The sequence below is a fragment of the Homo sapiens genome, chromosome 10, assembly GCF_000001405.40.
Source record: "Homo sapiens chromosome 10, GRCh38.p14 Primary Assembly".
Classification (NCBI taxonomy): domain Eukaryota; kingdom Metazoa; phylum Chordata; class Mammalia; order Primates; family Hominidae; genus Homo; species Homo sapiens.
Window position 1 is genome coordinate 61,703,002 of NC_000010.11, and position 14,935 is coordinate 61,717,936.

General features: G+C 36.8%; 1 protein-coding gene across 5 annotated transcripts in view; it reads left to right on the top strand.

Annotated features, from left to right (window-relative positions):
- CABCOCO1 (ciliary associated calcium binding coiled-coil 1) overlaps window positions 1-14,935 on the top strand; it is a 103,838-nt gene that overhangs the window by 40,073 nt on the left and 48,830 nt on the right. The gene's annotated exons all lie outside the window — the stretch shown is intronic.

Here is a 14,935-nt window from a genome sequence, read left to right on the forward strand (position 1 = left end):
GGATGTGGTAGAGGGAAGTTACTTTTTCTTCTATTTGCCTGAACCACTAATGACCACAGCAGAAGTAGCAAGTTTAACTGATGAATATGGAGTTTCATAGCTCCCAGAGCACTGACTTTGGACTAAGAAGAATTTAGATGGGAGATGCAACCTACTTTCCCTTATTTCAAGATTTGCATGCCTGGTACATACAGTATCATATAAATGTACAAAGGCTTGTGAGGAGACACACACACACACACACACACACACACACACACACACACACTCTAAACAGCAGGAGCACCAAAGAGGTAGATCATCCATTATTCAAGGAATTTTTTTCGCCCCTATTCAATACACAGTAACTTAAATAATAAGGGACTTTCATATAAAAAGATAAAGTATTTTAGATGGGAAAAAAAGACATAATATAAGCTAACAAATGAACCCAGTTATTTTGCTTCATTTAAAGAGCGGAAATCTGACTTGAATGATCTTTTCCTCAATAATAAGCAAAATACATTAAATAAATATAACATACTAATATTCATGACCTGGAGCAACTCATGTTTCTTCTATGAAGACTTTTCTGACTTCTGTAGACCATGCTGAATCCTCCCTCCTGTAGACCACCATTGATGTGAACTAAGGCACTGTGCTTTTTGGTATCAGTTTATATGTAATCTGACTTTAGCTGGGCTGCCTTCAGGCCTGCCTCTACTTACTCTTTCTCTCTCTCTCACACACACACACACATATGCACGCACATAAACTCCTGCTGCCCCCTACACACAGTTGATTCCTAGGAGCTTGAGGGAAATGGTGACTTCTTACTACATATCTTTAGCTTTCTTTAAAAGCTCAGCCCAAAGATGATACATAGGGCATCACACAGAGACCTGGATAGTCTCCTAAGTTTTCTGTTGGTTTTAAAAATATGTGCAAAGGTCAGGCGCAGTGGCTCACGCCTGTAATCCCAGCACTTTGGGAGGCCAAGGTGGGCAGATAGAACACTTGAGGCCAGTAGTTCGAGACCAGCCTGGCCAACATGGTGAAACCCCCGTCTCTATTAAAAATACAAAAAAAAAAAATTAGCTGGGCGTGGTGGCAGGCACCTGCAATCCCAGCTACTCAGGAGGCTGAGTCAGGAGAATCGCTTGAACCTGGGAGGTGGAGGTTGCAGGGAGCCGAGATAGTGCCACTGCCTTCCAGCCTGGGTGACAGAGTGAAACCCTGTCTAAAAATATATATATATATGCCCAAATTCTTCCAAATATTCTAGAACTTAATTTCTTTCCCCTTGAAAGTGGGCTGGGCTTAGTGCCTTTCTTCTAGTGAATACAATATGGCAGAAATGGCAGAATACCACTTCTAAGATGAGGCTATAAAAAACCTGTGGCTTCCATCTCAGTTCCTCTCTTGATCTCTCTCTTGCACTGGTGATGCTGGTTGCTATGCTATAAGGACACTTGGCAGCATCTGGAGAGGCCCACAAGGCCAGAGCCTGAGGCCCACCTACAGATGCCTGAGTGAGCTTGGAAGTAGATCCTCCTCTAATTGATCCCTGAGATGAATGCAGGCCTGACTGACAGCTTGAGTGAAATATCATGAAAGACCCTGAGCAAGTACCACATAGCTAAACTGCGCTCAGATCCCTGACCCACAGAATTGTGTATTTCTAAGTATTTGCTGTTTTAAGCGCCCAGGCTTGGGGTAATTTGTTACATAGCAATAGATAACTAATACATTTCCCATTCATAACAGCAGCCGAAATCTCTCTCTTTTGCCCCATATTTCAATCATCCCCAAAATGCTTACTCCATTTTTTTTTTTTTCATTTTCTCCTCCCCTGTGTCTGGCTGCTTCTTGCACAACCCACTCTAGCCTCCTGTTGTTGCTCTTCAATCTCAGAAAAGCCCCCTTGGATTTCTGGTTAAAAAAAAAAACAAAACAGTTCTCCTCCATGAATGGCTTGTCTCCCAAACCATTGTACATAATAGGTGCTTAATAAATATCTGTTCATAGTATAAGCAAACTTCAAATTCTTTTGACTTGTGCAAACAAAATTTATTCATTTGAAAAATATTTTCTTAACAATTGAGACTAAAGTTATGGAGAGAGGTGCTTCAGTGTTTGAAGCTAAGTCTTTTGTGAGCAAGACTTGCTACTGATAACTCTAAAACCTTATCTGGTACCTGAGCGAGACAGACATTGGACTCCCTGTACTCTTTGGCTTCTGGAACAGGAAGAAGCATACATTTTAATTTCACATGATCAAAGCTACTGTACAGTTAAAGCTCAGCAAGTACTTTCCACTCAGGAACAATTCTGGGTTGAAGATCATTGTCTTCTAAATGCATTTCCAGGTCAGTGTCTGTTGCAACCTGATTATCAAGGTATTTATTGAACAAATGCAGTATGCCTACCAGCATTCCCAGTACTCTGGAGACTTTCTGTCAGTCAGTAAGTTCCTGTACACATATTACTTTTATTGCTATCATGTGACACTGGCTAGTAAAACAAACACAGTTTCAAAATGCTCAGAGCCTAGCAAGAGAAACAGACATTAATTTAGTAAACCCACAGGCACATAATTACAAACCAAGTACTATAAAGGAAAAATAGAGGTTACCCTAAAGAGGTATATTAGAGAGCTTCTTATAATCAGTGGATCAAGGAAGGCTCCTGTGAGTTAGTTATCTTTGTGAAGAGATCTAGGCATAACATGTTAACTAGGCAAACATGTAGTGCAAAGGGAAGTGGAGTTAGTTGAGCATTTACTGTATGCTAGGCACTAAGCACTTTAAATATTACACACACATAATCTTCACAACAACCATAGAGGGTGAGCACCTCTTCAACCATACTTTTAAAACATGAAATCTATTACTAATGTCCACAAGCTTAACCACTGTCCGAAGCTTCCTCTGCAGACTTGAGTTAATCCTTAAAAGTATCAAAGACAACCATGAATGAAAGAGACTGTCTAGATTATTTTTCAGTTAAGCAGCATGTGATATTGATTATCTACAGAAGTTTCAACAATTAAAACCCAAACAAAATAGAACACAGTTTGAATTATTACCTTCCAAACATGCACTCTAAAAGAATAAAGGATGATATAAATAATAGTGTAACGAAGTTACTTTATTCTTTTACAACCCTTTCCATTTCTTTATACTTTCTACCCAAGAACCCCATGATGTTCTTTTTATGTAATAAATACTGCTAACCAAATATATATGTTTCAGTTTATGTGCAGTTTATGAAAACGAACACCATACCGTGTATTAAATTACAGCCGAAATTGAGAAAAGAGAAGGGAACGCAGTTCATTATTCTTTGTTAAATAATGAATGTTTTTGAAATAATATGATCATTAAATGCAAATGAGCATAACTCTGATATAAATGTAAATTTTTCAAAACTTGAAATGTTCCTTAAGATAAACTCTTTGGCTGAATTCTGAATATTTAATTGTTCCGCTTTCACAAAATGAATGCAGTCACCTATTCAACATAATTAGTTATCTAGGGAAAAACAATTATAATTGAACATAGCTGCTTCCCAAATGCGTTTTAAATAACATAAACAGTCCTATGTTAAATATTTGGCCCGCTGCTTGGATATCTTGTATTTGCCTCTCCAGACCCCTTTTTCTACCCTACATTGTGCCTCAGAATGCTAATGTTATGGAACCCATCCAGAGGCTCCTTTGCTTCCTGGTCTTCTACCTATGCTGGCAGGGTGCCTGGGTGGGAGAAAGCTTGAGGCTGGGGAGGTTTCATTCCCAGCTCCCTCTCCATTGAATCACTACATGTTGGGTGCATCCTTCACAGGTTATAGTTTCTGTCCTGTCTATGCAGCTCTTCTCCCTGTATTCTGGAAACTGTTCCTTCCCCTTTCCCAATCACCCGAGGGATAATAACAGATAGGATGCTGTGCCATCCCCGTTACTTTCCCTCAAACCAGCCTGCACCTTTGTATAAAGTCCTTTTATTAAACCCTCCTCAATGACCCATTTTCGGTGCACTATTTTCTCTTAGAACCCTAACTCTATAGTAATTGATACCAGGAGTGGCCTCAGGAAACTGATCCTCAAATGAGATTCGAATTGGGTTGTTCATGTATGTGCGTGGTGTCCAGAAAACTTACTGGGCAGGAGTAGGTGTAGGGAGAAATTGGGATGCAACACTGAGGAACATGACCGAGCATTGACTGTAAGAATAGCCAACAGAAGATAATTAAATAGCAAGTTAGGCAGGCGAATGTGTTGATGTGAGTGCACTCAGGATACGGGACTTGAGAATGTGGGTCCAGCACTCAGGAGTGTCATTAAGAGTCTGCTAGGCTGCTAGGCTTGCCATACAGTCAATTAGGTTGTTGTGGCAGAACCTCCCTGGCAGGATGCAAAGAAAAGAAAGGATTCTGATAGTTCAGGGAGATGAAATAATGTACTATCTGTTTAGCCATTTTCTACTTATCACCTGTGGATGTCCAGAGGATACACTCCTCTTATCTGGGCATTCAGGAATCCCTTATTGGGGAGGTTTTCATCATCACTGACCACCCTAGTAGTGGCTATTCTCAGTAGGCTGACTTCTAATCAGAGGCGTGAGATGCTTTGAACAATGTTTGGGATGAAGAGTGTGCTAAAGGGAACAGTCCACAATCACCATTCTAATGACAAGCTTATGTGTTTTTAATCACTAAATGAATCTTCAGTATTAGTGAGAAAAACGTGTTGCAATGGAACTTTTTTTTAAAGAAATCTCCTGAAAATATACACTGCTCACTAACCTTGAATGAATGTACTCTGCATAATTGACACAAAAAAGTGTGGAGAATTATTTCAAGTTTTGCACAAGGTAAAAACAGAAGCTGATACATGAGCTTGGTTCAAAGGTAAGCCCCCCACCACAGGTAGTTGGATTACCATTAACGATTTTCTTAATCTCTATGAAGTTCGATTCTTCATCTACAAAATAAGGGGACTAATATCTGTCTCCCATTGTTGTGCAGATAAACAAGACAGGGCCTGGCATAGGACAGCATCTCAACTAACAGGGCAAAGTAAGTTTGCCTTGGGCATTCCTCTCTCATTGGCATTTGCAATCTATTACTACATCTTATACTATAACCTTGGGATCAGGCTCCACAACTACTTATTTTACATCCCTCATGCCCAGCACATAGACAGACGCATACCAGATCCTAACTAGTGAGAGTGATTCAATGAATTCATGAATGTGTTGTTGTGAGGATGCAATGGAAGTGGTTACTTTAAGGTGTACCTTTCTTTCCTTCCCTCTATTGGTGTTTACATTTCACGTCTTCATTTGTTGCCTTTATAGTCAAGGACAATTTACTTAACTGCAGGTTTGCAGTAGGTTCCTCCTCATTAAAATTGAGATGACATCTCTCTCTTTTCCATTCGGGCTGCTATAACAAAAATATCATAAACTGGATGGCTCATAAGCAACAAGAATTTATTTCTTACAGTTCTAGAGACTGGTAAATCCAAGATAAGGCACCAGCAGATTTCTAGTGTCTAGAGAAGACTTGCTCTCTGCTTTATAAGGAGTGCCTTCTTACTGTGTCCTCACTTGGTGGAAGGGATGAACAAACTCCCTTTGGCTTCTTTCATAGGGCATTAATCCCCTTTATGAGGGTGGAGCCATCGTGACCTAATTGCCTCTCAAAGGCCACCCCTCTTCATACCATACGTTGGGGACTAAGTTTCAACATATCAATGTTGGGGAGATGGGAACATTCAGACCATAGCAACCTACTACCCTAGTAGCAGTGCTGTGAAATAAATTAGATAACAGTTTAAATACCTACAAAATAGGGCGTACTCCATAAATTTTATTTTCCTTTCTTTTGTCCAATTTGTATTTCAAGGACTCAACACATTATAGACACTGAAATAAATGTTGTCCATGATGGACTACGCATAAACTTCTAATCTGGAAACTTTATACACTGTTCATTTCTTTAAAAAACCTCCCAAATATCAGATTACTGCCCATGGGATTGCAAAATATTTTTATGCCTTTTATGGTTAAAATGCTCTAAGAATTTGGAAGAAGTCCCACTTCTGAAAGTTATTTCAATAAATCCAAAATGAATAGATGTGGAAAATATTTAACATTCAACAGTTAATTTTGAATAAGAGAGATACGTAGTTGATTTTATCCCTTTTATTTCTACAAACCATAAGAAGAAACAGTTTGGACAGGTTCCTCAAAAGAGGCTCCCCAAATCCTTTTTAATGGGATACATCAACTCAAGTGTCACCCAAAGATTATTCCTAACAAATGTACATATTGTTTGACTTTGCTTGGAATAAACAAAAAGCTTAAAATTAGATTATTGCTTAGAAACAGAGCCATCAAATTAAAATAAGGCCAGACATTTGGAACTAAGTCAGTTTAAGAGAGTCACCTTTCATTAAATTATGGCTACCATGTTTGGATTTTTTTTTAGCTTTATGCCATAGCCATAAAAACTCAGTTAAAATTTCACAGTAAGTGCCTAGTGCCTTCACACAAATTCACAAAATCAGTGCCTTTAAATAAATTCATTTTTCATACTAAAAGAAATGCCAATAACCACTAAATCACTAAAACTAAAAGGCAAAGAAGTGGAAATTTTTTTAAAGTCATTTAAATCGCTGTTTGCCTGACTTACTTGTCCCCCTCAAATTTAAAAAAAAAAAAATGTATAGAGACAACAACTCAATGCTGCTTCCCCTCATTTCTCTCATTTTTCGTAGGGTTCCAGCACTGTATCACTATTGGAAATGTAACTAATTTAAACTTATTTAGAAAAAGAAGCTTTATTTATAGCCTTATTTGTGCTGAGCAGCTTTTCAAAAAACACATTTTTCAGATTAATGGAAATGTTTGTGGTAACATTAGCTCTACTTGCCATTCCAAAACTATAAAATGAATTAAGAGGGAGAACGACTTGAATTAAAGCATGAGTGACTTCATAAAAATAAACACTTTACATAATTTGTAAATTTAAATTTTTGTTACCTCAAAATGTAGGCAGAATGATTTATAAACATAATGCATTTATTTGCCAAAAACAAGAAGAAATTTGCCTGATTACTAATAAAAATTATTTTAAATGATTTTTCCAGTGAGTTTTTTGTGTGTATATCACTGATGGAAACTTTTTATTCTGTGCCACAGATTCTCATTTCCACATACAGTTTTGTGACCGGAGACTTGACATGCTGAATTAATGTTTGTGTGTGTGAGTGTGTGTGTGTGTGTGTGTGTGTGTGTGTGTGTGTGTGTGTAGAGATATAAATATAGAGATAATGATAGAGACATCATTATAATAGCTTCTTTAGGGAGCTCTTAGAGTTAACTGGAGAAACCCTAAGTTTCATTGAACACAGTTTGAATCCTAAAGTAGTTGTGATGCTATTTATATTCTCCGAATATACTGTAAACACAAAAATATTCCACTTTTTAAAATAGTGGAAATATGTTAATAAGGCATAAAATTTACAAATAATTTTATCTTTCAAATATGAAAAATGCTTCATCCAAAAACTAATGATCCTGGTCCACCTGGTTTCAGCTCTGATGGACTATCTTGTAAAAAACCATGCTCTAATCAAGAATACATAGAAAAGTGGATACTTTTTTTAAAGTAAGTTTGAAGGCATTGGAGGTTTTCCAAGGTAGTCAGGATTTAAGAGGTCACAATCCTAGAGAGAAGCAAAGATTTTTGAGGTGGACCCAATATTTGTGTTGCTCTTCCTCTAGGGGAATCAAAACTCTGAATATGAGCATGTCAAGGTGGCCAGGATCAAGAGGACAAGATTACAGGAAGAAGATGGGTACACAGAAGTGAATCTGATACTCTGTGACAGCTTTTCACTCCAGGCATTTGCTGATTCTTAAGCCATGGTGGTCAAATGACCCAAATGTATACTACAAACCCCAAATCAATCACCAAAAACAAACAAAAACTTATAGCTAAAAATCAAGCAGAAGGGATAACATTAAATACAAAAGTACTCAATACAAAAGAAGGCAGAAAAAGAGAACAAAGGAGTTATGGGATAAATAGAAATAAATAGTCAAGATGGTAGATTTAAACCGAACTAAATCAGTTATCACACTAAAAAGAAATGTATGCCTAACCATATAAATTATCACATTAAACATAACACCCCTTGTGAAAAGAAAAAAGGTAAAGATGATCAGATTGCCAACTATTTCACCCACTATATAATTCCTACAAGAATAAGGACATAAACAGTTTGCAAGTGGGGAAATTATGGAAAATATGTATACCACGTTAACAGCAATCATAAAAAGCAGGATTGGTTTTATAAGTATCAGACTCAGTAGCTGTCAGGGCAAATATGACCAGTGAGAAAGAAGGTGATTTCCTAATAAAAAAAGGCACCAAATCATCAAGAGGACATAAAAATCCTAAATGTTTATATACTTAACAGAGATTGAAAATATATGAAGCAAAGGCCAATAGACCTGCAAGGAAAATAGACACATTTACTCTTACAATGGTAAATGTCAACACTCTCTTTTAACAATTGATAAAGACAAAGTTAGTAAAAATATAGACAATTTGAACAAGACTATCAAATAATTTGACATCATTGACATTTATATAAGGAGAACAACAGAAAACATTCATTTTAAGTGCACAAAAAATATTTACAAGTTAGTTCATATTCTAGACCATAAAACAAGTCTAAATTAATTTCAAAAGATTCAAATCATACAAAGTATGCTTTCTGATCAAAATTGAATTTTAGAAGTCAGTAACAGAAAATCCCAAATATGTACAGACTAAATACACAGTTCTCCATAACCCATGGATAAAAGAAGAAATAAAAAAGGAATTTAAAAAGCATTTTGAATGGGATGAAAATGAAAGCACCAAATACCAAAATTTGTGCTATTGTGAATAGTGCTGCAAAAAACATACATGTGCATGATTTATAATCCTTTGGTTATATACCTAGTAATGGGATTGCTGGGTCAAATGATATTTCTGGTTCTAGATCCTTGAGGAATCGCCACACTGTCTTCCACAATGGTTGAACTAATTTACACTCCCATCAACAGTGTAAAAGCATTCCTATTTCTCCACATCCTCCACAGCCCTATTTCTCCACATCCTCCACAGCATCTGTTGTTTCCTGACTTTTTAATGATTACCATTCTAACTGGTGTCAGATGGTTTCTCATCGTGGTTTTGATTTGCATTTCTCTGATGACCAGTGATGATGAGCATTTTTTCACGTGTCTGTTGGCTGCATAGATGTCTTCTTCTGAGAAGTGTCTGTTCATATCCTTTGCCCAGTTTTTGATGGGGTTGTTTTTTTCTTGTAAATTTGTTTGAGTTCTTTGTAAATTCTGGATATTAGCCCTTTGGCAGATGGGTAGATTACAAAAATTTTCTTCCATTCTGTAGGTTGCCTGTTCACTCTGACAGTAGTTTCTTTTGCCATGCAGAAGCACTTTAGTTTAATTAGATCCCATTTGTCTATTTTGGCTTTTGTTGCCATTGCTTTTGGTGTTTTAGTCATGAAGTCCTTGCCCATGCCTATGTCCTGAATGGTACTGCCTAGGTTTTGTTCTAGGGTTTTTATGGTTTTAGATCTAACATTTAAGTCTTTAATCCATCTTGAAATAATTTATGTATAAGGTGTAATTAAGGGATTTAGTTTCAGCTTTCTACATATGGCTAGCCAGTTTTCCCAGCACCATTTATTAAATAGGGAATCCTTTCCCCATTTCTTGTTTTTGTCAGGTTTGTCAAAGATCCGATGGTTGTAGATGTGTGGTGTTATTTCTGAAGCCTCTGTTCTGTTCCACTGGTCTATATCTCTGTTTTCGTACCAGTACCATGCTGTTTTGGTTACTGTAGCCCTTGTAGTATAGTTTGAAGTCAGGTAGCATGATGCTTTCAGCTTTGTTCTTTTTGCTTAGGATTGCCTTGGCAATGCGGGCTCTTTTTTGGTTCTATATGAACTTTAAAGTAGCTTTTTCCAATTCTGTGACGAAAGTCATTGGTAGTTTGATGGGGATGGCATTGAATCTATAAATTACCTTGGGCACTATGGCCATTTTCACGATATTGATTCCTCTTATCCATGGGCATGGAATGTTCTTCCATTTGTTTGTATCCTCTTTTATTTTGTTGAGCAGTGGTTTGTAGTTCTCCTTGAAGAGGTCCTTCACATCCCTTGTAAGTTGGATTCCTAGGTATTTTATCCTCTTTGTAGCAATTGTGAATGGGAGTTCACTCATGATTTGGCTCTCTGTTTGTCTGTTATTCGTGTATAAGAATGCCTTGTGATTGATTTTTGCACATTGATTTTGTATCCTGAGACTTTGCTGAAGTTGCTAATCACCTTAGGGAGATTTTGGGCTGAAACGATGGGGTTTTCTAAATAACAAGCATGTCAACTGCAAACAGGGACAATTTGACTTCCTCTTTTCCTAATTGAATACGCTTTATTTCTTTCTCTTGCCTGATTGCCCTGGCCAGAACTTCCAACACTACGTTGAATAGGAATGGTGAGAGAGGGCATCCTTGTCTTGTGCTGGTTTTCAAAGGGAATGCTTCCAGTTGTTGCCCATTCCGTATGATATTGGCTGTGGGTTTGTCATAAATAGCTCTTATTATTTTGAGATACGTTCCATCAATACCTAGTTTATTGAGAGTATTTAGCATGAGGGCTTTTGAATTTTGTCGAAGGCCTTTTCTGCATCTATTGAGATAATCATGTGGTTTTTGTCATTGGTTCTGTTTATGTGATGGATTACGTTTATTGATTTGCATATGTGGAACCAGCCTTGCATCCCAGGGATGAAGCCAACCTGATCGTGGTGGATAAGCTTTTTGATGTGCTGCTGGATTCGGTTTGCCAGTATTTTATTGAGGATTTTGCATCGATGTTCATCAGGGATATTGGTCTACAATTCTCTTTTTTTTGTTGTGTCTCTGCCAGGCTTTGGTATCACGATGATGTTGGCCTCATAAAATGAGTTAGGGAGGATTCCCTCTTTTTCTATTGATTGGAATAGTTTCAGAAGGAATGGTACCAGCTCCTCTTAGTACCTTTGGTAGAATTTGGCTGTGAATCCATCTTGTCCTGGACTTTTTTTGGTTGGTAGGCTACTAATTATTGCCTCAATTTCAGAGTCTATTATTGGTCTATTCGGAGATTCAACTTCTTCCTGGTTTAGTCTTGGGAGGGTCTATGTGTCCAGGAATATATCCATTTCTTGTAGATTTTCTAGTTTATTTGCGTAGAGGTGTTTATAGTATTCTCTGATGGTAGTTTGTATTTCTGTGGGATTGGTGGTGATATCCCCTTTGTCATTTTTTATTGTGTCTATTTGATTCTTCTCTCTTTTCTTCTTTATTAGTCTTGCTAGTGGTCTATCAATTTTGTTGATCTTTTCAAAAAACCAGCTCCTGGATTCATTGATTTTTTGAAGGGTTTTTTTGTGTCTCTATCTCTTTCAGTCCTGCTCTGATCTTAGTTATTTCTTGCCTTCTGCTAGCTTTTGAATTTGTTTGTTCTTGCTTCTCTAGTTATTTCAATTGTGATGTTAGGGTGTCAATTTTAGATCTTTCCTGCTTTCTTTTGTGGGCATTTAGTGCTATAAATTTCCCTCTATATACTGCTTTAAATGTGTCCTAGAGATTCTGGTACGTTGTGTCTTTGTTCTTATTGGTGTCAAAGAACATCTTTATTTCTGCCTTCATTTCGTTATTTACCCTGTAATCATTCAGGAGCAAGTTGTTCAGTTTCCATGTAGTTGTGCACTTTTGAGTGAGTTTCCTAATCCTAAGTTCTAATTTGATTGCACTGTGGTCTGAGAGACAGTTTGTTGTGATTTCTGTTCTTTTACATTTGCTGAGGAGTGCTTTACTTCCAATTATGTGGTCAGTTTTAGAATAAGTGTGATGTGGTGCTGAGAAGAATGTATATTCTGTTGATTTGGGGTGGAGAGTTCTGCAGATGTTTATTAGGTCTGCTTGGTGCAGAGCTGAGTTGAAGTCCTGGATATCCTTGTAAACCTTCTATCTCGTTGATCTGTCTAATATTGACAGTGGGGTGTTAAAGTGTCCCATTATTATTGTGTGGGAGTCCAAGTCTCTTTGTAGGTCTCTAAGGACTTGCTTTATGAATCTGGGTGCTCCTGTATTGGGTGCATATATATTTAGGATAGTTAGCTCTTCTTGTTGAATTGATCCCTTTACCATTATGTAATGGCCTTCTTTGTCTCTTTTAATCTTTGTTGGTTTAAAATCTGTTTTATCAGAGATTAGGCTTGCAACCCTGCTTTTTTTTTGCTTCCCATTTGCTTGGCAGATCTTCCTCCATCTCTTTATTTTGAGCTTATGTGCATCTTTGCATGTGAGAGGCATCTCCTGAATACAGCACACTGATGGGTCTTGACTCTTTATCCAATCTGCCAGTCTGTGTCCTTTAATTGGGGCATTTAGCCCATTTACATTTAAGGTTAATATTGTTGTGTGTGAATTTGATCCTGTCATTGTGATATTAGTTGGTTATTTTGCCCGTTAATTGATGCAGTTTCTTCATAGCATCGATGGTCTTTACAATTTGGCATGTTTTTGCAGTGGCTCGTACCGGTTGTTTCTTTCCATGTTTAGTGCTTCCTTCAGGAGCTCTTCTAAGGCAGGCCTAGTGGTGACAAAATCTCAGCATTTGCTTGTCTGTAAAGGATTTTATTTCTCCTTCACTTATGAAGCTTAGTTTGGCTGGATATGACATTCTGGGTTGAAAATTCTTTTCTTTAAGAATGTTGAATATTGGCCCCCACTCTCTTCTGGCTTGTAGGGTTTCTGCCAGGAGATCCACTGTTAGTCTGATGGACTTCCCTTTGTGGGTAACTCAACCTTTCTCTCTGGCTGCCCTTAACATTTTTTCCTTCATTTCAACCTTGGTGAATCTGACAATTATGTTTCTTGGGGTTGCTTTTCCTGAGGAGTATCTCTGTGGAATTAAAATAAATGGAATTAAATTATAATATTTTAAAATATTTTCCACAAGCCAACTTCCCAGCCTAAATTGCTTCATATTTAAGATGATATAAAATTATAAGAAGTTTTCCTATAATTTTTTAATATTCAATATATTTTTTTCTGTATTTCCTATAATGCCAAAACATGACAAGGACATTCATTGTAAGAAAGGAAAATTACTGACATATCTTTGTTATTAACACACAAAGTAAATTTTAGGATATCCTAAATGTGAGGGTTGCAACAGGGAGGAAGCAGAAGCTGCCAGTCCTCTTAGAAGTCAGGCTCAGAACTGGCACAGTGTCACTTCAGTCTTGTTGCATTGGTTAAAGCAGTCACAGAGTCAGCTAGGATGCAAGGGGAGCAGAAATAAACCCCACCTTTCAATGGGGGGAGTGACAGGGAATTTGCAGGCACCCACAATTCATCACATCTTCCCACCTCTTTCAAATTTATGCTTGTCCAAAACCAGCTCTATCACCAAAGTTCATTTCAAATCCTCTCTCTTGTATGAATTATTAACCCCTAAACTGAAAATAGCTCTTCCATTTTCCCCTGTGAACTCTCATTTTTATCTCTACCTTTCTTGGGGCACTTTTAACTTTCAATCTTGAATTATTTATGTAAGTCTTATCTCCTCTACATTTTAAATAACATTTATTTCTAGTTACTGAAATAAGAAATTCATATTATAGAAAATTGTCAAGATTCATTTCTGAATAATACCTCTCTCAAACTGCCTTGCAAATATGAGATGCTTGATAAACATTTAATAAGTGAAGATTGTAATAAAATCCAAACTTTCTAATAGGTCAATACTAGATATTTCTGAGATTGTTTGGCTTGTGACTTTCTTCTGTATACTAATCATATATATTTAAATACAGATAGGCAAAAATGAAACTAAATAATAGTTGTGTGTATTTTACCAGACTCACATTGGGGAGAAAAAAAGAAAAGAAAAAGAAAATAGTATAATGGCGAACACTACCGAATTCTTAACTATGTGTCAGGCACAATTCTAAAAACTTCATCCTCCTAACATCCTGCAAGGTTTTGAAGAAAAGGAAAAAATTACCAAGGAATGCAAAACAAAGGAAACAAAAGAGGCAAAAAAAAATTATCCTATAGACCTGAAGAGCTCCAAAACATCTGAAATTCTGACATAAGTTGGCTACATGGTGAGGGAAGCCAGCTTCTAAGAACATACACAGGAAAGAACTTTGGAATAAAGGGCACTTTTCCTCTGACTTAATCTATTCATTTCATATTTAATGGAGTACTATTTTATGAATTCTTATTTTTGAAAATAAATACATCAATTTTCTGGCGAATGGAACTTTAAGTTCTTTAAATTACCTTCATTTTTAATATAATATTAACATCTTTAACTGCCAGGAAAAGAAAAGCCTAATAATGACTTAGTTTTTAAAAATTGTGCTGTACCTAGAGATCCACAACTACAATGAGACAAAATTAAACAAATTTCTGATACTTTTATTTAACAACCAAAAAGTATTGCATGTTCAGTACTATGCTTTATAATGGTGGAAAAACAAAAAAGGAGGGTAATATGGTACCAGACATCAGAGAATTATGCGATCTATTTGAAAAGATAAAATTAAATATTTAGGAAATTAACAGGAAAGCTTTAGTTTAAAACACAAGATAGAGGTCAGGAAAGGGAGGAATCACTTCGGAATATAACAGCAAAATAAACTTTTGTTGGAAGTGTTGGGAATTGAGGTGGGCCTTCAGAGAAGGGCAGAATTTAGAAAGGTTAGCAAAGAATATTCCAGATTTGAGAAGGTGAAAATAAGTAACTGCACAAGCAAGGGCATAGAGACAAGAATGATTGTAATATTTTAACCCAATAGCAGGGAAGAGACGA